We start from the raw sequence: 26,556 nt of genomic DNA on the forward strand, positions 1-26,556 counted from the left end.
TGTGTGTGTGTGTGCATGTACATTGCCACACGCATATGCAGACATGCACACACAGGCCAGAGGGCATGCAGTTACATGCTGCTTGCTCCTCCAGGAACAGAGAATGCTAAGAAACCTCAGGATTGATCCCCAGCCTTCCCAGTTTCTAAAGCTCAGCTTTCATCCAACCTGGTAAATAACAATACCATGTGCCAAGTGTTATGTTAGACCCTGAGGATACAAAATGAGCTAAAGTGGACACAATCCTTATCCTCATAAAACTTCCAGTCAGGGGTAGAATAGATATGGAAATTAATCAAATAATTATATGGATAATATTTTTCTAACTATACATCCTAATAATTGCCTAAGAAAATGCACCAGCGGCTATAAGGGAACCCAGCTTAATCTGAAGTCAGAAATGAATGCATCTTTGAGCTGGAGAACGAGTGGAGGCCAGAGTGATATAAATGGCCCACCAGCAGGCAGCATCCTCCATCAGCAGGAGGAGTGAAATGCACTTTTATCACAGGAGAAGGTTGAAGGAGAATGGATGAGCAAATGTGATTGGGACCACAAGCAACAAGAGGAGGGGGAATGTTCCACACAAAGGGAACCACATATACAAAGACTCTGAGGACAGGCGAGAAGCACGTAACAGGAACTGAAAGGCAGCCACAAAGGGAGAGCAGAGAGCAAGAGGAGGGCGGTGTCAGATGCAACGAAAGGGGCAGAAGCCAGATCATGGGGATTATTAGCATGTGGAGGGGGAGGATGATGCGCGGGAGTGCTGAGTTTTCTCTTTCAAAAGCTCACTTTGTTTTCGTGTGGAGAACAGGTTGACATGAAAGAAGGAAGGAGCTGGGAAGACAGTTATTAGTCCTCTTGCCAGTCCTCCACCTGAGTCTTGGCGAGAGATCGGACCAGGAGTCTAATACTAACTAGCTCTGTGACCCTGGATAATTTGCTTCACCCCTTTAAGCCTCAAATTCCCCACCCGTAAAATGGCAATAATCATGGTTTTGGTGGGGATTAAATGAGATCGTGCCTGTGGGGCACTCAGCCCTCTGTAAGCCTTCAATAAATGTTAGCTGTTGGTGGTGCTGGAGATGGAGAGACACAGACAGATTAGAGAGATATAATAGTCTACCAGCAAGCAATCACCCTACCTAACTCCTACCTAAACTCCTAAAATGTGAGGGGGCACATTTTTTTCATAGGAGAAAGGTCAGGGAGGAATTAATGAGGAAGGGCGATTGGTACCAATATGAGAAATTTCCCAAATTTGCAATTTTTTTTTTTTTTTTTTGGAAACAGAGTCTCACTCTGTCCCCCAGGCTGGGGTGCAGTGGTGCGATCCCAGCTTATTGCAACCTCTGCCTCCTGGATTCCAGCGATTCTTGTGCTTCAGCCTCCTCAGTAGCTGGAACTACAGGCACATGCCACCACACCCGGCTAATTTTTGTATTTTTAGTAGAGATGGGGTTTCACCACGTTGGCCAGGCTGGTCTCGAACTCCTGACCTAAAGCAAGCCACCCACCTCGGCCTCCCAAAGTGCTGAGATTACAGGTGTGAGCCATCGTGCCCAGCCGGAAACAATTCTTGTTCCTTATTATTAACACTGCCAGAAATATTTAAGCTATGAAAGGTATCTGAGACCATTTAGAGAAGTAATTCCTAAAAAATGCTCAAGTAATATCTTCAACAAGCTTTGTGACAACAGCAACAAAAAGACTGCAAAAAAGTAAATGACTTGCCCAAGATCATAGGGTTGTTAATGGCTGAAGCCAAGAGTGCAACTTGGGTTAAACTCCAAGTCTGTACCCTTTCCAGAAGGGGACAGAGCCTCCTGAGAAGTCCAAATCCAACCCATTCCTTCCAGATTAGTTTAGTCAGAAAAACAAACAGCAGCAAACCCCAGGAAACAAGGTACAGTTGAAAGTCCAGTTCTATTGTTTATATTGAAAATTATGGTGACGCTACATTGTTTTGGCGTTTGGTAAATTGTATCACTCTAATATTAGAGTGTTATAAAATAGCTCTTGCCTTTGGACATAATAACGTCTTTTTGAGGGCTTTATCCAAATGCATACAGGAAGCTAAATAAACAAAAGCAGTGTTATTTGTCCACTGCAAAAGGCAATTGTTATTTACTTCTAAGGCAAGTTGGATGATAGGCTATTTGCATATCCAAAACTTCTAATGCAGTAAGAAAAAAAAATTAACCTCTGTATTAAGCACAGACTCAAGGACTGAGAGACTTCCTTAATTAAATCAAACTGCTTTTCCACAGAAGCTTTAGGTAGAACCTACTTATGGGAAGCTTAAGGTAATTGATCCTGAAATTAAGCATTCTTTCAAAATCTGGGCACCGGACTTTTGGCGTACTCACAGAAACCAGAAGTAGTTTCCCCTGGCTGATCTTTGAGGGTGTCCCCTTTAAACTTGCCAGCCTCCTTCCGTGGAAGATAAAATCATGCAGGGGTATGGATTAGCTATCATGTCATTATAGCAGGCACAGCCGTCTGTTACAGGTAAATTGCTAGGCAATGTAATAACAATGCATTTTATTTACTGTGCAGGGTGCTTATCTACAGAAATGTTCCCGACAAACAAAGAAAGGCACAGCTAACCGCCTTCCCTTTAGAATACAGGCTGAAGCTATGCCAGCACCTTCAGAGAATAAAAATGCTAAATAATCTCTGTATAAACAGAGTCCCTAAAAACTCAATGCATTTCCTAACAGAAGCAGAAAAGGCAACTGGTGCCTGGGATGTCCACGAGGTCTTTCTCAGGCTCCTATCACTGCTGACTAAATCGCATCCCAATTTGGGGAGGAACCAACCAATGGTCAGTGTAAGTCCAGACTAAGAGCATTCATTGTTGTTAAATGATGATGATGATGAGGTTGATAAGGTTGACTACCATTTGTCACATGCTTGTCATCTGCCTTGCACTTTTCAACATTGTCTTTTTTTAATTCTCAAAACAAACCTATGTTAGTCCTGCTCTTAACCTCATTTAACAGATGAAGAGTTTCACAAGTAAGGAAACTGTCCACTCAGCTGTTAACTTGAAAATTCAAAAATAAGCCTGCCTCCCTCCAAAACTAGAGATATGAACCTCTGTGCTAGACCGTTCTCAAGAATCTGAGGAATTTGCCTGAGGCTGGACTTAGCATTCAGGACTCTTGTCCTCCCCTGCTATTGGTGCCTACCTTATGCACACATCCCACCCACTGAAGCATCCACTGGGCTCACACTTTGTGCCCCACAATGAGGGCCACCAATACAAAGGGCACTGTTTTACTAAAAACCTAGTAGATGCCTTTTAAACATACAGCCGTCCATGAATAGAATAAGTGAACTAATGAATGAAGGAATGAAGAAATCTAATTAAAGAGTCTAGGATGCAGCCTACAGAGACATGACTGGAATGTGATTGCTCTAAAAGAAAGCTGTGACTTAATCAATAGTATTAACATATCTGAAGAAAGAATGTGTCCACAGAAGGAAGGCAGTCTGCCCAGAGTTCAGAAAAATGGAGCACTATTGAATTTGGTGTTTATCCAATTGTGCCCAAGGGAGAGAGGGAGTACATATGGCATTGATAGAAAGATGTACCAGGATTGCTTAGTTCACTTCAATAGTCTTTGTAAACCTACTATGTGCCATGCTGTACAGTAGGCACTGTGAACGAACACACACAGACACACACACACACACACACACACACACACACAGTTCCTAACATGGAGGAACTTGCAGTGATAGTAGGAGAGACCAGCACATAAACAGTTCTTAAATGCTCAGTGCTACAACTGAGATATGTGAAAGGTGCTACTGAGTACAGAGGAGAAAACCTTAGTCCAAGGTCTGGGAAAACTTCCTGAAGTGACCCTTGAGCTGTGTTTCAACAAATAAGCAAGTGTCATCCAGGCCATAACAGACACAAAACAATTATAAGCAGAAGAACCAGCAGCTGTCCACATCACAGCATGTCAGGGATAAAAATAGTGCCTATTGCCTATTAGTCCAGAGACAGAAGATGGTGTATTTAAGTAGCCTGCAATTTATCCTTAGGGAAATAGGGAACCTTTGAAGGATGCTAGCTGGGGAATAACAAGATAAACTTGCATTTTAGAAAGATCATTCTGGCAGGAATATAAACAATGGAAGTGAATATAAAGAAAAGCCAAGAAGGCCTACAGACAAGTTTGAAGTTATTATCAAAGACCCTGGTGAGGCTCTGTCCTAGATCAAGGATAGCTAGGATAAGGAGAAGAGGGAAAAGTAAATATTTAGGAAGCGATGTTGACCGGTTGGATGGGAAGCTTGAAAGAGAGATGAGAAATCAAGAGTGATTCCAAGTTTCTGGCTTGGATGCGGTGTTAATGGTTGATTGGATGAGAAGGATGAAGAGATAAGGAATCTAAGATGATTCCAAGTTTCTGGCTTGGATGACCAAGTTGATGGTAATATCATGAACCAGGATAGAAAATATAAGAGGAGCAGCAAATTTGGATTTGGAAGCTGAAGAAAATGAGTCTTGTTCTGAACATGTTGAAGTGTCCATTGGACATCCAAGTGGAGCTGTCCATCCAGTGGGCTATTGTATACATAATTCTGCAACTCAGAAGAATCATCAGGGATAAATACTTGAGCCAGGTGCAGTGGCTCCTACCTGCCATCCCAACAACTCAGGAGGCTGGGGTGGGAGGATCACTTGAGGCCAGGAGTTTGAGACCAGCCTGTACAACACAGGGAGAGCCCATCACTACAAAAATAAAAATAAACTAGCTGGGTGTGATGGTGTGAGCCTGTAATCCCAACAACTCAGGAGGCTGAGGCAGGAGGATCACTTGAGCCCAGGAGTTTGAGGCTGCAGTGAGCTATGATTGTGCCATTGCACTCCAGCCTCAGTGACAGAGTGAGATTCCATCTCTAAAAAAAAATAAATAAATAAATATTTGAACATCGTGATCAAAGAGATAATAGTTAAAACCATGAGAGTAAGCTATCACAAGGACAAAAAACCAAACACCGCATGTTCTCACTTACAGGTGGGAATTGAACAATGAGAACACGTGGACACAGGAAGGGGAACATCACACTCCGGAGACTGTTGTGGGGTGGGGGGAGGGGGGAGGGATAGCATTTGGAGATATACCAAATGCTAAATGACGAGTTAATGGGTGCAGCACACCAGCATGGCACATGTATACATATGTAACAAACCTGCACATTGTGCACATGTACCCTAAAACTTAAAGTATAATAATAATAAAATTAAATTAAATTAAAACCATGAGAGTAAAAGAAATTAGCCAAGAATGGATAGAAAGATGGATGGATCAATGGAAGGGAAGAAAAGAAATAAGCTAATTAAAATGAGATTATTCTATATTAGCTAGCTTTAATTTTTGGAAAGTTAGAAAACTTTGTTTTACTTAAAAAAGGATAAAGAAACTGAAGAAAGTGAAGGAGAATAAACTTCAAATAAACGTTTCCTTGCCAGTAAAGTTATTATTTCTTAAAAGAGCCTTCTACGTTAAGAAAAAAAATATTAAAAAAAATAAAGTGGCTAGTCATTCAAAAAACAAAAAAACTTTCTGCTAAGAAAGATGAGGAAATTGGTACTCTCACACTCCCACCCATATTCCCTGATAAGGATTATAACATTAATTCTCTATTCTGTTACCATTTTCTACTTTTGTTTAGACTTAGTTCTTACATTTACATGAATTGAATGCCCACTACCAGTCTTTTACTGTGACTGTTTCATTCCTGAGTCCTTCACTTTGTCCTTTATTTTTACCTCTTGTGTGGCTTCATCTTGTCACTAACTTTTTTTCCAAGAAGTGTTTGTACACCCTGTAATTCTTGGGTCAATACATAAGAATGTTTACCTGTTATCTTTATATTTGACCAACTCCTTGGCTGGATATAATATTTTTGAGTCACTCTTTTCCTCAGAAATTTGTAGACATTACTTCATTGACTATTGGCACTGAGCAAAAGTCCAAGGCTAGCCAGATTTTCCCTCTCAATAAGTGATTCTCAAAGCCCATGTCTTTAACCAAATGTAGGGGAAAGAAAACTCAATCTCTCTCAATATGTTTGGCTCCTTGATGGTTTGAGGTGGACAAAACTCTCTGGCAATATTAAACAACATTTAAAAGCTACAAGCAGGCCCGGCGTGGTGTCTCACACCTGTAATCTTAACACTTTAGGAGGCCGATGCGGGCAGATCACTTGAGCCCATGAGTTCAAGACAAGCCTGGGCAACATGCTGAAACCCTGTCTCCACAAAAAATACAAAAATTAGCCGGGCATAGTGGCACAGGCCTGTAGTCCTAGCTACTCAGAAAGCTAAGGTGGAAGGATCACTTGAGCCTGGGAGGTTGAGGTTGCAATGAGCCCTGACCATGCCACTGCACTCCAGCCTGGGTAACAGAATGAGCCTTGATCTCAAAAAAATAAATAAGTAAAAATAAATAATAAAAGCTACAAGCCCTTCTCTGCCTCATTAAATCTTCTCATCCTTCAAGACTCTGCTCAAATGTTCCCCACCACCCTATAAGCCTTTCTCCTCCCTTCTTTCTAGGCAGAATTAGTATTTTCAAGGAGTAGTTATTCCATTTAGCATTGTAAGTATGCCTGTTTTCCCACTAAATTATAAACAGCTTGAGAGAAGAACCATGTTTTCTTCATTGTAACCCCAGCATATATCACTCAGCTATTAATAAACATCGTAAGGGTTCAATGTTTCCTGAGTAATCTATCCTCACTTTTCCCCCATACATATCTGAGGGACTCCTTACAGCAGGTGTGCACAAACATCAGCATGCATCCGAAATACCTGGAGGACTGGCTAAAACACATTGCTACACCCCATCCTCAGAGTTTCTGATTTAGAAGGTCTGGAGTGGGGCTCAGAAATTTGCATTTCTAACAAGTTCCCAGGTGATACCAATGCTACTGTTCCCAGAATCACACTTTGAAAACCATTAGAAATAGAAATAGACAGAACGAATCCTTGCAAATGGGAAAATGAGGTTCAGAGGAGGACCTTACATTCGTCTCCAAAAGCATCCACTTCTGAACTAAGTCCACAAAACTGTAGACTAAGTGATTTCTTATAGCATAAGACTAGAATTAGCCCAAATATTAGAGCATGTGGCCCACGAGAAAAGACATTTCATGACGCTTCCCTTAATTTTTCTTTCTTGATTCATCTTATCACTCATGAATAAAGTACCCTCAATCAGTGTTATTTACCATGATTCTCTATTATAACTATTAACTGTACCCACCTTAATTCAATGGTCAGGTGGGAGTATACATGCAGAGGGAATTCATGTACTTCAAACTCTCCTTCAAAATAAAACAATAATAATAGTCATTTAAAAATCCATTTCTCTCTCACCCTTATTGTGTTTTCTCAGGCTTTTCATTCTGTCTCCCTGCCTTCTTATTTCCCACACACATGAAACAGTGGTGATTTTTAACGTCAAGATTTTGCAAACCATCGCCAGGTACACATTCCCCACCACATCATCCTTGCCATTTAGCCGTTCGGTCCCTGGAGAGGATGGTCAGTGGCCCCAAGGCTTCTACAGCAACTTCTAAGTGGTGATTTTTGTGCTCCTTTCCCTAAAGGGCTTGAATTTCTCGGAGCACTAAATCTCCCCCGGTTTTCTGCGCGCTATCACGCGCTGCGGTGCACCAAAGTTGCGTTGCAGTGCCACCTACAGTCTGCTTCTGATAGAGACCCAGAGCCACCCAATCCAGGGCCCTCTCCACCAGCTGACCAGTTAAAGCAAAATACAGACATTCTGGATTCAAGTGGACTCTGCCTCTATAAGAAACTGCTCAGTACAAAGTCAAGGAGCCCTCCTATCTGAACTTCCATCTGGAACTATGGATTGCTAAACCGTTTGAAATGGTGTCATCAGCTTGGATTCTTGCTTCACATTGTGTTTTTAACTTTGGAAGTTTTAAACACCTTCATGGCAAGAGGCCTCCCGTGGTGACAGTATGAGAAGAGGAAAACAGTGGCTGCTGGGCCTTTCCTTTCTGCTTCTTGTGGTTGTGGCAGTGTTTGAGCTTCGTTAAGATCTGCAGGGTGAAAATCAGCTCGGCCCGGCCAGGGAGCCAGAATGAAATGGAGCGCCTGTGCGCGCATTCGGAAAGCAGCAGCCACGTTAGGAGCCTAGGGTCCATTCGCTCTCATTTAATGTTTCTTCTCAGGCAGAGAAGTACAGGCATCAAACATCCCGGCCCTTTTATGGCACATAAATCACAGGTCAGCGCCTTCCACGGAGGCTCCTGCTTGCTAAGTGAGTGGTTACACCAGGAGCAAGGAAGCAACATTTCAGCACACTTAGAGACCCAGGAGGATGAGCTGATTGCACAGGGCAGAGCCAGGAATTTCTCCCTACAGTTGAATGATTAAAACCTTTCTCCTGCTTGAGAACTGGGACATTGTTTCGAACTTTCCACAGGCAGCAGCTTGCACCCAGATCTGCCCTGGGTCCCAATCTGCCATTAACTCCTTTCTCAGAGAGTTGGTTTCCACAGCCCCTACAGAGCAGAGCAGGCTCTGAGACGCCATCTCTTGGCCCGCCGCTAATTGAACTAAGGTGAACTTTTTCCTCACTGAATCCACAGAATCTCTGTCTTGATGATTTATGTCAAGAGACTGAGAAAGCTGGAAGCTAAGCCACGTTAACAGGAGGGCCCTAAGTAAGGGTCCATGAACTTGGCCTGCTGAGGTCCTTGAAACTGCCCTGGCTTCTGCCATTCCTATGTCTACCACTGTGGCTTTTCTGTGGTTGATGAGTCCTGTACCCAAAACCAACTTGAGAAGATTGGGCTCCTTAGTACCGAAATTGGTAACTAAGACACGCTAAATCTTAGAGAACACACATCAGACTCATGTGGGGATTTCCGCTCACTACCCCACACCATGGGGAAGAATCTCCACAGCCTGCCCTCAGCCCACCAATGTTCCTGCCCTCCAGCCAAAGGCAGGAGATGGCTACCCCGTGGGGCAGGGGTGCGGACAAGGGAAGGCGGTGGAGACCAGTCCACAGACTGCTATCTACCCACAATCCATCACTGGTTAGCAACAAGAAAAGCACAGAAACAGTGTTGGGAACTACTATGACAATTTTTCAAAGCAATTTAATATTTATCAAATCTAACAATAAAAAATTAGAGCTTGTGTTTTGAATGTTGTTTTCCTTTTCATTTTTCTAGTATTTTATTTCTGTTGTATTTTATGTATTTATCCAAAGGAAAAGAAATAATTATATTGAAGAAACTCCTGCACCCCCACGTTTATTGCAGCACTGTTCACAATAGCCAAGATACAGAATCAACCCAGGCATCCAACAACAGACGAGTGGATAAAGAAAATGTGGTACATACACACAATGGAGTACTATTCAGCCATAAAAAAGAATGAAATCAAGTCATTTGCAGCAACATGCATGAAACTGGAGGACATTGTGTTAAGTGAAATAAGCTAGAGACAGAAAGTTAAATACCACGTTCTCACTCATATGTGGAAACTTCAAAAAAAAAAACGTTGGTAAAGGTAAAAGTAGCACAGAAGATACAAGAAGCTGGGAAGGGTAGGGGGAAGGGAGGGATAGGAAGAGATTTGTTAAAGGACACAAAATTACAGCCAGATAGGAGGAATAAGTTCTAGTGTTCTATACCACCATAGGATGACTGTAGTTAACAATAATATGTCACATAGTTTTAAGTAGCTAGAAGGAGGATATTGAATATTCCCAACACAAAGAAATGACAAATGTTTGGGATGATGGATGTGCTGATTACCCTGATCACTACACTTTATAATACTGGAGCATCACTATGTACCACTGTGAATATGTACAATTATTATTTGTCCATTTAAAAATTTTTAAAGTTTTTTCTTTAAAAGATTATCAGTCCACAAGAGATTGGAAATAAAAAACAAAACAACATACGTAAGTCTTTCATTATGAATAGTTTGAAGTGCACTACTTTAAATTCCCCTCTTCACTCTGGCCCAAGCCCCTTGGCCATCCAGCAGGCAGGATCTCAGAGAAGGCAGGAATGCAGCTGTGCCTTCTCTGCAAGGAAAAGCAATGACTCAAGCAGAGGCAAAGCCTACTGTTCACACCGATGAAGAGAACCCATGCTTGGATCATTCAGGCAGAGGCAGGGCCTTGGACTTAAGTCTAATTGCCCCAAACATTCCAATATAGAAAAGATCTTAAGACCCATGGCATCCTGATGGAGTTAAGGACAAGTATTCCAAGCCAGTCAGGAAGCACTTCCAAGAGCAAATTTTTGGGCTGCATCCAGGGGTGAGTCAAGTGGTCCAACTGAGTTTGGGGGACTTGTAACATCTCTAGTCAGTGTTTCTCTATGCCATCTCCCTCAAATACCCCCTACACACATATGCGCACACACACACACACACACACTTATTCTTCATCCCTCCCTGGAGCTTGTCCACTTCTCTGAGCAGCACCAATTTCCTTGCAGCCAGTAGCAAGAGCACAGATGTGGAGAATGCATGGCTCCCACATTTCTTGATATAGACTTGAGGTCTTGCCTTATCCTCTCCAAGGAAGAGCTGAGGCCACTGGGAACATGGAGTGGGCCCATAGGCCATGGCAAAGCCTCCCAACTCTAAGTCCTTTCTGTGTAAGTCCAGAAAATGAAATATTGACATGGAAACATCTTTCAAAAAGAAAAAACATGTGGCTCTTTAATACATGAAAATTTAAAAGTATAAGGAAAAGAGGAGGAACAAATAAATGGAGAGCAAGGCAGAAAAGGAGGCAGGAAAAGAAGAGGGGATAGAGGGCTATAAATTTCATGAGGGCAAAGAACATGTCTGTGTCCCAGTGCCAAGCACAGTGCTGGGCACATAATGGCACTCAACTCAGATTCAGTTTGTTGAGTGAATAAAGAAAAGAAGGAAAAATTGACACAGGAGCAAGGAGGGAGAAGATGCTCAAGAAGCATGCAGCTGCCCAGATTCCTCCTGGCATTCTACCCGGGATCTCACTGCTGTCCCTCCGGCCCACAGGAGGAAGCAGGCAGCGGGGAGGGCCTGGCTGCACGGGGCACATGCTGTGGGCAGGGTGGTGGCTGCACATGGGCTCCTTCTCTAAAGCAAGGCTCCTTGTTGGTCTCCTTCTCTCTTTCTTTTTGATTCCTGAAAAACATTGTTTTAATGCAGGGAAGAGTCATTGATTTCATTTGAAACAATGCCCAACAGGATATGGCGTCTCAAACAGCTCCTTGGCCCTTGGCAATTGTTGTGTGCAGGTGTTTCATGCAAGTGCCGGGCAGCACGTACAGCACTGAGACCCAGGCAACACTGGGCGTAGGCCTGGAGAGTGGCCCAGGACACATGGGGCTTATGGCACCAAGCCCTGTGGCGTCTTCTACATTCCAAGAATTCAACTCCTTCCCACATGCCTCCCCCACCCCTTGCTAACCTCACTTCCAGCCCCCAGTCTGTAGTATAATAGGAATTGGGTTTTCCCTCTTGTTATTTCTTTTTTTTTTTTCTGAGACTCCCTCTTGTTATTTCTGTAACTCATAAGATAAAAACAAACCATAGTCCCAAAGAGAGAAATGTATCTGCACTAAACAGAATGGCAGTAAGGAAGAAGGAAGACTGCTTGGTAACGACATACAAAAACAGGACGGACTTTAACCAAAAAAGGCAATAACAAACATATGAACACTGATAGAGTAGAACAAAAAGTTTATCAATAAAAATCAGTGCATATACAAACATATTTTTAATCCAAGCTTCCAAGAGTAAAGTGGAAATAAGGAGTATTGCAGCATGAAGAAGTATCTCCAACCCATAGAACTTTACAAGTCGCCCTGGACAGAGTTCAACGGTCTCCATTATGCAGCAATTACACTACCAGCCATACACCCAACAGAAGCGAAAACACATATCTACAGGAAAATTTTTACATGGATATTTATAGCAACATTATTCACAATAACCAAAAAATTGAAACAACCCAAATTGAAACAATCAGTTGATGAATGGATAAATAACATGTGGTATATCCATACAGTGGTATGTTATTTGGCAATAAAAAGGAATGAATACATTGATGTAACAGGATGAAACATGACAAAATTACGCTAAGTGAAAGAAGCCACACACAAAGGATCACATATTGTATGATCCCTTTTTCTTTTTTTTGAAATGTCCAGAATAGACAGATCTATTGAGACAGAAAGTAGATTAGTGTTTGCCTACAGCAGGGAGGGGGATGGCAGGATGGGGGGGTGACAGCTAAGGGGATCAGGATTACTTTGGGGGGTAGTACAAAGATTCTAAAATTGACCATAGTGATGGTTGCTCAGCTCTGTAAATATACTAAAAGCTATTGAAACATATAAACTGGTAAATTGTATGGAATATGTCCATGTAAATAAAAGCATAAAAAAAAAGGACAGGTGGTTTCCCAAGCAGAGATAAGAAGGGTGTGGCACGGCCAATGGATTTCACGGACAAGGAAAGGGTAAGGGAAGCATGCTAAGTCTTGTAGTGTCAGGAGTGATTTTGTCACTCCTTTTTATCCTCACTGACTCTAAGTCTCTGCTCCAAGACTTCACCAAGAGGGTCCTAGAAAAGAACCCCTCTCTTTTCCCCCTGTGTTTTCATAATGTAAATGACTGATAAGTGCTTAAAGTGTTACCCTTTCAGAGATATTTCTATCTTCAGATCATAATCATAGGAATGTAGAATATTTGAGCCTTAGGAACAATCTCATCTGCTGGATTTTTGTGTACTCTCTGGAGCCCTTTCAGGGCTGTAAAGTTGGAGCCAAGAAGGGAAGGGCTGTGGGCAGTCATACATTTTAGAAAAACACCCTCTCTGGGTGGTTAAATAACATTTTGAGGGTTTAAAAGATAGAAACTCTTAGCCATCCAGAATGAATAAATTATCAAGAACAATTCAGCCCTGAAGTTTTTGAAGAATTGACATTTGACTGCTTTTCCCATGAAAGGCACCATGAGGCCCACATTCCCCATCATGAGTTCCAGAGAGCCACTCACAGGCTTCTAGCACATATGACAGCTGCCCTCTTCCACATCTGGACATTACCCCAGACCCTTCTCTAGGCCCTGCCTGATGTGACATCCCCTCCAATGTGCTACCATCCTGTCCAAGGCACCAGTGGCTGACCCAGGACAATAAATGGCCCAGACCAAACTTGTGCCCCAGCACACAGGTCACTAGGAAAGCCTTCTAAATCAGGCCCTGGATGAGCCTGTCTCCAGTGCATGATGGATTGGTAACAACTTGTTCCCATCAATAGGCCAAAAATAGTCCAGAAGAAAAATATGGTTACATTTGTCCATCACACCAGCCACATTTTCTTACCCACACACAAAAAATAATGGCACAGTGGAATCTCCTGACCTCCAACCAAAGGCTGAAACTAGTGCATGATGATGGCTGCTGTAAACTACATAAAACTCTACCCAGAAAACTATCAGGATTCCTTGTACTCCACTAAGCCCGAAACAATCAACTTGACCAAGGTAGCATCAAAAGCCCCAGAGGGTCAGCACCTGGAAGGTCTGTGATTTCTATTTACACTTTTTATTTGAATTCTCTCTCACCCATAGCCCAATTACTGTCCAGCCCTTTCCCTGAGCCTGCCTTACTAAAATCTATTACTGGTAACTCAATGTGTAGCAAAGGCATAAATGCTTCAAAAAATTGATGTTAGGTAATAAGTGAATGAATTAATGATTTCAGAAGTCAAATAGCTTTGAAATGAAGAATATTTTCATTTAGTCATCCCTATTTTTATATTTCTCAACTTATCAACTTATTCAGGACCCTCTTAAAGTGAACATAGTCCCAGATTCATAGGGCTTGGAAGGGACCATAGATACTACTCACTCTAATTTTAAATTCTTGCACAGCCAGTGTCCCAGAGGCCATGTGAGGGCACAGGCAAGAGGCCAAGTGGAAAGGCACCTGAGGTCCCCGTTCCCATTTTGGTTACTACATTAGGATAAGGCTAGCTGCTATAGTAAATAAACCACAACATTTCAGTGGCTTAGCAACACAGAATTTTATTTTTTATTCCTATAATAGTTTGATGTCGGTGGTGTTTCTAGCCTGCTGGTGGCCCTTTGCCTTCTTCTGCCATGTTCCACCATACCTACGGCCCCAGCCAGGAGACAGGAAGGGAGACTAGAGGGAGCACATCTGCTTCTTTACCATCTTGGCCTATATATTGGTCAGGGTCTTATCAGGAAAACAAAGCCCAGCCACATAATCCATTAGAGGCAATTTCATATGGATAATAGCAAGAACCAAAAAGCCAGATAGAGGAGGTGAAGCAATCCAGAGATTCAGCAGAAAGCTGCTCCCACTCGTAGCTCACTCATGACTTACTCCTCTGAACCAGAGAGGGCTGCTGGGCAACTGAGACGATGAAAGAAGGGGCTGTTACTTAAGAGCTGAGACCACAAAGATGTCACCAGAAGCAAAGAGATCAAAGCTAAAATATCCTAGCTTCTCCCTTCCTCCCTTCCTCCAGTCTCCGGCCAACCCACCCACTGGCCAAACCTAGCCAAAGCTAGGGAAGGAAGCCTGGAAAATTGTGGTTGGCAGGGACAGATTCCCTACAGAATGAGCAGAGCAGGTGATGGGCAAGGAAAAGGATCTGAGGGCAAATGACAAACACGATCTGTAGGTGACACACATCGCCTTGTTCACATTTCATCTGTAAGGATTTGTTACAGAATCACACAGAAAAGCAAGGGGTGCTAGGGAATGTAATCCTTGGCTGGGAAGCTTCTTCGCAGGCACATCATGGAAGGAGGAGCGCAAACTTTTAGTGGACGGTGAGCCATCTCTGCCACAGTTGGGTTTTAATAGATTTTCAATCCACCCAGCAGCTCCATTTTTACATGAAGCTGGGGAGGGACAGACCATGGTAATTAATTAATTAATTAAAATAGAAAGCCCCTGATGGCTCTCTAGACAGCATGGTTGTTTCTCCCTCCTCATCCCATATCTTAGACTGGTGACTGCTGGGAAGAGGAGGAGAAGTTGACAGCAACTGTTTGGTGCTCCTGAGAGGAAGGGGCTTCCTATAGGTACAAGAGTCCTGGCTCCTTAAGTGAACTGTTGATGACATGATGCTGTCATGAACTTTGGGGTGAACTGGGTGAATTTGAAAGCATGAAAGAATTGGTCAACAAGACAGATCTGGTTTCCGCCTTCATGGAGCTAATGCCTCTATTAGGAGTTGAACACTAAGTGCTATGCAGAAAAGACATGGAGCTCTAGGACGAAGGATAACAGATGGGTTTGCTCTGGGTACGCTCAGTCCTCCAGCTTATACTTCAGCTCCAAACATTTATTTTTAGGTCAGGCTTCCTCTGCCATCATCTTAAAGGTATGCTTACATTCTTAGTCTCTATATTTATATTCCAACCAATGCAGATGGCTTCTCACTCTTTAATCTTCAAACACAACAAACCATTCGTATCAACTATTTCTGCTGCACTCCTGACCTCCAAGTAGGTAGGCTGAGGCGTCTCTCCACATCAGCCAGAGCAGCTCTGCTTGGACCTGTTTTATATATTGGGTTATTTATCTAATTTGAATGAAAAGTTCACAAGCTGTGTGTCTAGCTTCATTCTCCCTTTTACATATGAGAAAGTGGAAGTCCAGTGAGACAAGGAGTTTTGCCCAAGACTGCATATAGCTCATGTGTCATGGAGACAGGCCTAGAATTCAGGGTCCAAACCCCAACACAATGTCCTTTCTACTATTCTCAGGAATTCCAAACAAGTATAGTTTCCAGAACACATGTTCCTCATGGAAAGTACCAAGAATTTCTCTGCTGCTGAAGACTGCACCCATGGGAAATGCTCTGCAGAGGTGCTCATTTCCTTATTAATTGGAACTCCTTTGATTTCAAGTGACAGAAATCCACTGAGACAGCTTAGGCCAAAAAGGGAGACTCTATTATAAGGGATTCATGGAACTCAGGGCAGGAATACAGCTGGACCCCAGGTATGTACTGGAACCAAGGATTCCAGTAGCTTTGGAAATCTCTCTCCACATTCTACTTTGGCTTTTTCTGTACATCTACTTCATCTTCTACTCTTTGCAGGCCAGACTTTTCTACTTTGCTATTCATATGGCAGAAGACAGAGTCCTATCAGCCCCCAGGGTTTATGTTCTGAGGCTCCTGCGCCCCCCCAGCACACACTCATTTTTTGGTCAGTTTTAATGGAATGTCATTTATATGCAATAAAATGGACTCTTTGTCAAGTGTATAATCCATGAGTTTTGGCAAATGTATACAGTCATGCAACCACCACCGCAATTAAAATGTAAGAGTTCTATCATCCCAAAAATCCTTTGTGCTCTTATCAGTTAATCTCTTTCCCCAACTTTCAGCTCTGGAATCTGTTTTCCATTAGTAGCACTTTGACTTTTCTAGAATTTCATATAAATAAAACCATAACAGCATGTAGTATGACTTTTCTTAATCAACATAATGTTTTAGAGATATATCCATTTTCCTGCTTTGAGTACTGGTGGTTAGTTCCTTTTTGTTGCTCAGTAATGTTACATTGTATAAATACACCACAATTGGTTTATCCATTGTTGATGGACATTTGGATTGTTTCCAGTTTGGGGCTACTGTGAATTAAGCTGCTATGGGCGTTCAGGTACAGGTCTTTGTGTGGACATATGTTTATGTTTTCATTTCTCTTGGGTAAATACTTAGACATGGGATTGCTGAGTCACATTTTAATGTGTGTTTAACTTTATAAGAAACTCAAAGAGGCTTTGTTTTCCAAAGTGGCTGTACCATTTTGTGTTTCATTAGTAATATATACTGCTTCACACCCTCTCAAACAGTTGGTATGGTCAGTCTTTTTAACTTTAGTCATTCTAATAGGCATTCTAGTGGTATCTCATTGTATTGTCTTAATAAATAATGTTTAGAATCTTCTCATGTGTTTCTTTGCCATCCATATCTCTTGTTTGGTAAGGAGTTTAATTCCTTGGTCAGTTTTTGGAGGGTTCTTTGTTTTCTTCTTGAGTTGTAAGAGTGTTCACATGTTCTAGATATAAGTCACTTATCAAATATGTGTTTTGCAAATATCTTCTCCCAGACTGTGGCTTGTCTTTTTTATTTTCTTAACAGTACATTTCAAAAAGCAGTTTTTAATTTTTGTGAAGTCTAAATTTATCCATTTTTTCTCTTATGTTTCCTACATATTGTGTCCAATCAAAGAAATCTTTGTCTGATCCAAGGTCACAAAGATTCTTTTCTGTGATTTCTCCCGGAAGCTTACAGCTTCCATCAGTGATCCCCTCTAAGTCCATGTTTACCTATAGTGCATCTCTCACTTGCTCTGACTCACACTCTTTCTCTCCCTCCCCCAGACCTAATTATCTGGGTGAGACTCTGACTGGGGAACTTGGGTCAGGTGTTTACTCATAAACCAATCTATATGGCCAGAACCAGGGAAAAGTCTCTTGACCCGAGCTTGATCACAGCCAGCTCTGGTCCAGTCAAGAGCATCCAGAGCTCCAGGGTTCTGTGCAAAATATGGCTGCCATGAGGCCCATGTGGTTGCAGAGAGGAGATCAGTAACCAGAGAATGGGGATGCAATATAGATTATATTAGGATATATTAGGGAAGATAATCTAATAAGTGTCTACATACCCTGCAATCTGGCTCTATCCATTTTAAGCAATTAACCTGGAATATTACAAGGCTTCTTATTAATTGAATGGACAGATCTTACCAAGATTCAAACACAATTTTTCCCATTGATAACCAAACTCCTAGTCATGCTTGTATCCCTAACCTACTAAAATACCACCACCATTGTGAAGACTGTGGGGAACCCTTAGCAGAGTTAATATGACTACAGCACTTAAAACATATTTGCCATCTCCAAAAAACAGTTAGCTCCTTGTGATCAAGAACCTTATGCTGTTTGTATCTATCTCAACAGCTAGTTTAATTCGTGACATGCAATATTTTGGGGTAGTTGTTGAATGCTGGGTTTGCCCTATACTATTTGTCAAATAATGTGTTTGGTAATGAGAGAAGGACAATTTTGAAGACCTCGAGTGATGGAATTGCCTTGCAGAATTTTTTATAAGAAAAATGCTCACTTGAGATTGATGGCTGATTCACACTCAATGGGGAAAAAAATAAAGGTAGAGAATCCAATATCAATCTCACTTTGACTTTTCACCCTTGCCCAGGGGAAACATAATTCAAATGCTTCCTTGCAGTCGCGATGCACAATGTTGAGCTGGGTCCCACTTGCTAAGAAATAGTTAGCATCATCACTAAAAAGCCGAGGCCCACGGTGTCCACTACATTTAATCTCACGCCACTCTTATTAACAACACAATTGCTACTTTGCTGGCCCAGATGCTCAAAGAATAGTAAATATAAGGGCCAGGACAGGGGTGTTTATGCCAACAAACTATGATAAATGAAATATTATGGAAAATTTATAAAGAAAATTATTGCCCTCAAATAGAGGTTTCTAGCTAGGACTTAAGGCAGAAATTGCCAAGATGCAAAGCAGAAGATAATCAGGTCAGAGTAATAAGTTTAAATAAAAACTGCTGTTAAGGAAATCTATTTGAACCCTGCTGGTATTAAATATGAGCACAAAGGCTGTGACTGCCACACACTCTTTGATTTAAAAATAAAACTCTCTGAATGTTTAGAACAGATTCTTTAAATAAAAGAATATAGAGACATGGAGAGGAAATTTCCAAAATAAAACCTTTAAACAAATCTTAAGTAGTAGTGGAAAGTGCACATCCTGCTTCCATTTTAAGCCAAAGGAGGCTCTTTGAAGGATACAAATGTGTGAAGCAGAAAGACTGCAGGGGATGGGGGAAGAACAGAGAATGAGCCTTGCCTGGGCTCCTAGAAGCCTCCGTGGGCCCCCATCCTTCTAGAGTCCCTTTGTTCCCACCCTTGCTTCCCACTAAGCCCACCCCTGTGTGCGGCATATTTGAGTAATTCTGCTGAAGTCTTTCATGTATATGCAACATTGCGAGTAGGTAAACAAGAGTGATGTCTGGATCCCTCCAGCAAAGGGCAGATGATTCTGATTTAGAGAAAACTAGATTAACAGATAACTCAAGTAGCTGGGTAAGAGGTAGAAGACAAGCAAAGGATGATTTTTTAAAATTGTTTAGACTTAGTCAAAATCAAAGACTGGATGACTCAGAAGAGGGGCCCTCAGTCTAAACTAGAGTGGATGCTGGCAGCAAGAGCTACTGCTTCCTCCTTGGTGGGCTACCGCCTGAGATGCCTCTACCACCATCCAGGAGGTTCTGGACTTTATGTGGGCTTTATACATCATCCTAGGAAGCACTATGAACTAGGGGCTTAACTCTTGCCCATGGATACATGGGCTATGTACTTGTATTTGATTTCTGTTTCCTGTGATTTTTCTGCTAGTTTGGGGCAGGGTAGGGGGTAAGAAAAGAAATAAAGTATAAGCTAATTGGGCTTATATAACAAACTCCAGGAAACAGAAAATTTTATAAGCTTGTTCCTGCACTAACTTAGCCACCGTTCTTATGAACTGAATTTCAAAAAAAAGGAAATCATTTAAACAATAGCTATTGGCCAGGCACAGTGGCTCACGCCTGTAATCCCAGCACTTTGGGAGGCCAAAGTGAGTGGATCACTTAAGGTCAGGAGTTGAAGACCAGTCTGGCCAACATGGTGAAACCCCATCTCTACTAAAAATACAAAAATTAGCTGGGTGTGGTGGCAGGCACCTGTAATCCCAGCTACTCAGGAGGCTGGGCAGGAGAATTGCTTGAACCCAGGAGGAGGAGGTTGCAATGAGCCGAGATGGCGCTACTGCACTCCAGCCTGGGTGACAGAGGGAGACTCAAAAAAAAAAAATTGCTATTTTAGAAGTCCCTAAAGTTTACTAAAATTTGATATTTTAGTATCATTTGTGATTATGTTTTTATCTCTTTTTATTTGCTGGTGGAATTATGTGCTGTTCAAATTTTAGAATATAGATAATTTACTTGCAATGGTATTTCTCACACTGAGTTTGGGAGCTCTGGGAAATTTCTAGAAATCAGACCCACTGAACAATTCACAATTTTGTGATGCTGATGTCTCTGAGCTATCTGGATGGGTAAACTGGCACTTCTGATTCTAAATAAGAAATAGCTACCTAAACAGTTACCTAAAGTTTTCACTTTTTCAGCTGTCAAAATACTTCTTCCTCACACCAAAAAGTAAGTACTGTGGCTTAAAAGATTAAATTTGAGAAAGATATATATGATGAGCCAATAAGCTCTCTTATTTATTTGTCCAAACTTTGCATCTGTCCTGTAAAACCCAACTGCAAGGAACTTAATCAAAGGTTAATTTGGTAGAAAGCAATTTGACCAAAAGTAAATTTGTCAAAATGAAAGAATGTAGTTGATACAAAAATTTGATTGAAATATTGACACAAGTTACCGATATTTTTCTTCAAATACTACTAACTCTGAAGCTGCTCTCCCTGGGTCTCTTCTTGAGAATCATTATGATTTTGTTTTACTTTAAAAATTCAGGTTTATTTTTAGCCAATCATTCCTTCTCCGTTTTGTTTGTGATAGCAAAAATTTTGACTAAGTATCTAATGATAGGAGGAGTCCCGCGCTTGAGCTGCTACTAAAATCCATAACCTTCAACCTTAGCCAGCAAACTTTCACTTTGTCCTCAACCCACCCCAATCCCACCTCCTTCACCCTCACTCTCAACAGATAGCTTTGCCTCCTTCTTCACAGAGCACCAGGCATGAAGCCTCACATTCCTGTTGGGTCATCTGCAACCTTACCTGCCTCTGTCTGTCTCAGCAATGGAAGGCTCTGCCTTTAGCCACAGCTCTTCCTCTCCTGGGCTCTGAAGCTTCTCTGTCTGTCTGTCTGTCTCTCTCTCTCTCTCTGTCTTTATCTCTGTCTCTCTGTCCCTCCAACAATCACCCTCTTTCTATCCTGTGCCATCAATCTCTCCTTTACTCAGTCGACATGTAAACAATCACAAGCCTCTTCATACTAAGGTGATAAGGACTCTTGACTTGGCATTCTCCTCCAGCCCCATTCCTTCCTCCTCTTCACAGCCAAACTTTCACATGGAGTGGTCAGCTCTTTGTGCTTCTACCTGCTTCCTTCCCATTCTCTCCTTAACCAACCCCAATCTGGCTTTGGCTAAGACTGCCAAGGCCAATGGCTATCATTCTGCCACATTCCATGGGCAGGTTTCTGTGCTCATCCTACTTGACCTCTCTGCAGTATTGGCTGCCAAGTATTCCCTTCCTGGCAAAACCTCATTTCCTTGGCTGCCATGACACCTATCCTTTCTGATTTTCTTTTCCTTCTCCATCTCCTGTGGGGGCTCTTCTTTTCCCACTCACTTTTGAAGGCCATTGTTTCTTAACCCCCTTCTTCACACTTCTGCTCTGTTCCCTCTGCAGGCTCCCTGAGCCACCATAGCCAACCTTTATCCTGCGATCTTCAGCAGAGTGCAATGGTTAAAGACGTGGAGGCTGAGTTTGAATTCCTTGTTGCATCACTTACTAGCTGTTTTTACTCTTTTACCCTCTTAAGTCTCAGCTTCCCCATCTGTAAAATGGGAGTGATAATACCTATGTCAGAAGGTTATTGTGAGGATCAAGTGTGGTGATGCATGTAAACAATTAGCATAATGCTTGGAAATACACTAATCATTAGCCCAGTAACTGTTATCTATTATTATTATCTTGCAATGAGCTCCAGAACATCTGGAAAGCTAAACATGTATAGCTCATTACCAGAAATAATACAACCTCACTACTAGTAGATCACTGAGACTAGAAGATGGTGCATAGCCACTCTTTCTTCCTCAGCTTTCCTTCTAGTCCAGACGGAGTCTGCCTTGGGTGGGATCATAGGATGTTCTTCTTTGCCGAGTCTGAAGTTTTCTTTCCTTTCTACACCTCTGTCCTCTATCAGGGTCCCAGCTCCACCCTGCCAGCATCACCCTATGTGGCATGGACTGTTGCCAGCTCTCTCCTTGGTAGGCACCTTTCTAGCACCCTCCATAGAAGCAGGTCCCACAAACCTATCTCTAGCTAATAATGACTGCCTCTCTCAGCATAGTTTGATATTTGTTCATACTATAAGATTCTCTGCATCTAGGGTGAAGGTCAGAAGGGACAAAGAAGGTAAAGAAGACAGAGAGGTTTATTCTGCCATATTAGTATTTATTATTATTCCATCATAATTAATAAGTATGATAATATATATCCAGAAACATACATTTAGACCAAACATCCCCCTGTGCTTCAGACTAGAATATACAATAGCCAATTTTACAGCCACTAAAATGTCTTACTATACCTTAAACTCAATATATCTAATACCAAATTGATTATCTTTTTTCCTGAAACTATTTCTTCTATTATATCTACCACCTACCCAGATGAGCAAGCCAAGAACTCAGGAACTTTCCCAGCCTCCTTCTCATCCCTTATTCCCCTCATGCACTTCTTCCTCCTACTCTTCATTACCCTTGCAACTACTCACAACTCAGATCTCACTTCAAGTCTTGCCTTGCACCAATTTAGTTCTGAACTAGATGACCTGAGTGGCTACAGCAATGTGTACTTATCTCTGTGCTGGTACCATCATGCTGTGGGGTAGCTGCGGGCCTCAAACACAACCATCTTTACACTCTCAGTACCTAGGAGAGTGCCTGGTATCTAGTGTGTGCAATAAAAACCTGGTTACAAAAAAAGAGGAGGGGGTAGGGAAGAAAGGGAAGAGTGACACAAGCAAGGAAAAAAGAAGAAACCTCTTCTTTGGAAAAGGTCCATTTTTCATCTTATAAGTTTTTCTTTTGCATACTATTTATGAGCCTATATTTGAGGTGTCAAATACTCAGACCCATACATACTTGTCTCTTCTGTCGTGCTTAGCTTGCTCTGAGGGTTAGGGCTTCAGAGCATTGTGAAATCCCATGAATAGTTGTTTACAACTTATGGAAAGAAAGCAATAAATGCCTCCAGAGGCTTCTCTCTTTACCTTAAATATTTCCTCCTCTGACTTCTCCTTAAGGCCCACGTCCAGCTCCTTCAGGTTTTATTGGGCCTTCTTCTAAGCCAGTTCTACCTGTTTGCTTCCTCTTGGTATCTTATTTTTCCAGAGGAAAGAGCCTAAATGGAAGGCAGCAGGCAGAAAGGAAGGGAGTTTAGAAAGATTTCATGTTTAGAAGATTTCCCTTGGAATAACGAAGAGAAAACCATCTATGGAAAGAAAGAAACAGAGCTTTCAGAGACACAAGAGCAGGCACACAATATGATGTGTACCAGGGAGTGGTGCCCTTTAAAATGAAGGTTGTCTGTCTCTCCAATCCAGGTTCTCCCCACCTCCCACTATATCTTCTTGCCTTTGATGTTAAGATTATTCTACATTGAATTGCTTGAAATTTCTCATGAATTAGCCCAGTAAATTTCCATTGCTTTTAAACTATTTATTAAATTGGATTTCAGTTTTTTCTGTTGAACATTTAAATAAGATTTGAACAAATCATAATTTTTCTTTAAAAAAAAAAAGCATGACTCATATGTTTATTGCAGCACTATTCACAATAGCAAAGTCATGGAATCAACCTAATTGTCCATGAGTGGTGGACTGGATAAAGAAAATGTAGTACGTATGCACCATGGAATACTACACAGCCATTAAAAAAGAACAAAATCATGTCCTTTGCAGCAACATGGATGCAGCTAGAGGCCATTATCCTAAATGAAATTACGCAGAAGCAGAAAAAAGTGAGAGCTAAACACTGGAACAGATGAAAACAATAGACACAGGGGACTCCAAAAGAAGGGAGGAAAGGAGAAGGGGGAAAAGTGGAAAAACGACCTCCTGGGTACTATGTTCACTATTTGGGTGATGGATTCACTAGAAGCCCAAACTCCACCATTACACAATATACTCATGTAACAAACCTACACATGTACCCCCTGAATCTATAATAAAAAGCTATAAATAAATAATTAATTAAAAGCATGCAATGTTCATCCAGTGAGGCACATAAAACACCAATGGCCACTTGTCAGAAGAGATTTGGAAGTGGATTTCAGTGAAATTGGTATATATTGTGATTCCTTCAGCAGACAACTTGCGCAGTAGTTATATCCTTTCAAAGTTAAAGTTATGATGGTAAAGAGAGGCTTCATCACATATAACAGCCACCTGTCTGAGGAAGAAAAGCATTTTGCTTCCAGATATGCCAGCAGAAGCCATATTACCATTTCAATGCACACATTTTTCTGCTTTAGACGGTATGTAAATACTTCCTGAGTTCCCATGGATTCCCTTTTGTTCCTTGTGATTACAGAATGGTGATCCAATTTGGATCTGTCCTTATCCTTACACATACAACATACACACATACATATGATGCTTGTATTGTCCACAGAAAATGAGATATTTTCTTACTTAGAGGTTCACTGTCAACATGATCTTGGGAACGGATAACTTATCAATGGTTTCAGTTATTCTTGAAGGTATTAACTTGCCTAAATGTAAGCTGGATGAGCATACCAAATTCCATCACTCTTCTGAAGCCACTTCCTCAGGGATTACCAGTCACTATATGGCTGCCAATTTTAACAGCCTCTTCTCTGTGCTCACCTTAATCAACCTCCATACAGCAGTTGACAACTAACTCTGTCTTGATGCCCCCTTGATCCATGGTTTTGGTGACACCACTCAGAGTCAGTCCTGTTCCTACGCTGAGCAGAAATCAAGAGAATGTATATGGAACTGGGTTTGGAGTTTCTTGAGCCTACAAATTACCCATATAGGAATAAGAGACACATATCTTTTTGTCTAACAGATGTATAGATGGACACCATAAAGTGGGTTATTATAGAGTTCTGTCCTTCCCCTGAGAAGAGGGACTTAGAAGAAGAGAGAAGGATTAATACTGTCTACCTCAGGAATGAAAGCAGGGATTCAAGGCAAATTCTAGCCACTATCTCAGGAAAGGAGTCAGGAACAGAGTGGGAATCAAAACTATAAAAATGTTTCAAGATTCTTTTTCTTTTTTTTTTTTTTTTTTTTTTGAGACGGAGTCTCGCTCTGTCGCCCAGGCTGAAGTGCAGTGGCGCGATCTCGGCTCACTACAAGCTCCTCCTCCCGGGTTCACGCCACTCTCCTGCCTCAGCCTCCCGAGTAGCTGGGACTACACGTGCCCACCACCACGCCCAGCTAATTTTTGTATTTTTAGTAGAGACGGGGTTTCACCATGGTCTCGATCTCCTGACCTCGTGATCCGCCCACCTCGGCCTCCCAAAGTGCTGGGATTACAAGGCGTGAGCCATTGCACCCGGCCAAATGTTTCAAGATTCTCTAAATCTTATGGGTTTGTTAGTTTTATTATTCCCATTATATTAGGCAGTAGTGATTAGAAGTAAAATTTATTTCAAAAATAAACCAACAGTAAATAAGAGGGGCTGGTTGCTTGTCTTCAGGGACCTAGAGGAATTAGAAGGAGCTGCAGACACCACATCCCTCTGAGAGACAGAACCTCAGGGGAGTCAGAATTGGCAAAGCCAGCACCCAGGAGGAGAAGCAGCAGGTTGTATGCCTAAGACCTCTTGCAAGGAACTTGCAAATGACAAACTGGTCTGGTCTAGCAAGAATGCGGGGGGCGGGGGGGCAGGTAGTGAGATTCTTGGTGTACTTTGCCAGTTCCTTTTCCTTCATCCTCCTCCTAAATGCTTAAGATTCTTAAATCTATATCTCCAGCCATGCCCCCTCTCCTGACTCCAGACCCACATTCCTGATGACCTACTGTACACAGGCACCCCTACCTAGCTCAGCATATGCAAAATGAACTCATCACCCTCCCCATATCTCTCCCTTCTCCAGTATTCCTGATCTCAGTGGAAGACACTGCCAATCTCCCAAGCACCAAGGCCAGACGTGTGGTACTATCTCAAACTATCCTCATCCTCCTCCTCCAGATGCGGTTCATCATTAAGATTCTTCAGTTAGATCCTATGTGTCTCATTCTTTTGCTTCTCACAGTCCCTGTTCTATCTCAGGCTCTATATTCTCTTGTACGACTATTACAATAGCCCCCTAACTGCTCTCCCCATCTCCAACACGTGGCAGGTCTGGTTTTTACAGTTAATCCTCACAACTCAGTTGAATTCATTTCCATACAAAACTGTATATAGTTCTTGAGGCTTTATTGCCATTGATGGTAGGAAAACTTAAACTTGCCAAATTTAAGCTACAGTAATGCCATCATCTCTGGCCTAAAGTTCTTCCTAATGCCCAAAGTCAACTTTGTGATGACTTCCCCAAATAAACTATCCATATTCAAACCCTTGTCTCAGGCTCTGCATTCTAGGGGAACCCAAGCTAAGACCTCTCTTGTCCTATAGCCTGGAAAGCTTTGAAGCTACATTTTACTTTCCCCTGAGTGCTT

Source organism: Homo sapiens, chromosome 14 (assembly GCF_000001405.40).
Source record: "Homo sapiens chromosome 14, GRCh38.p14 Primary Assembly".
In the NCBI taxonomy this organism is placed as follows: Eukaryota; Metazoa; Chordata; class Mammalia; order Primates; family Hominidae; genus Homo; species Homo sapiens.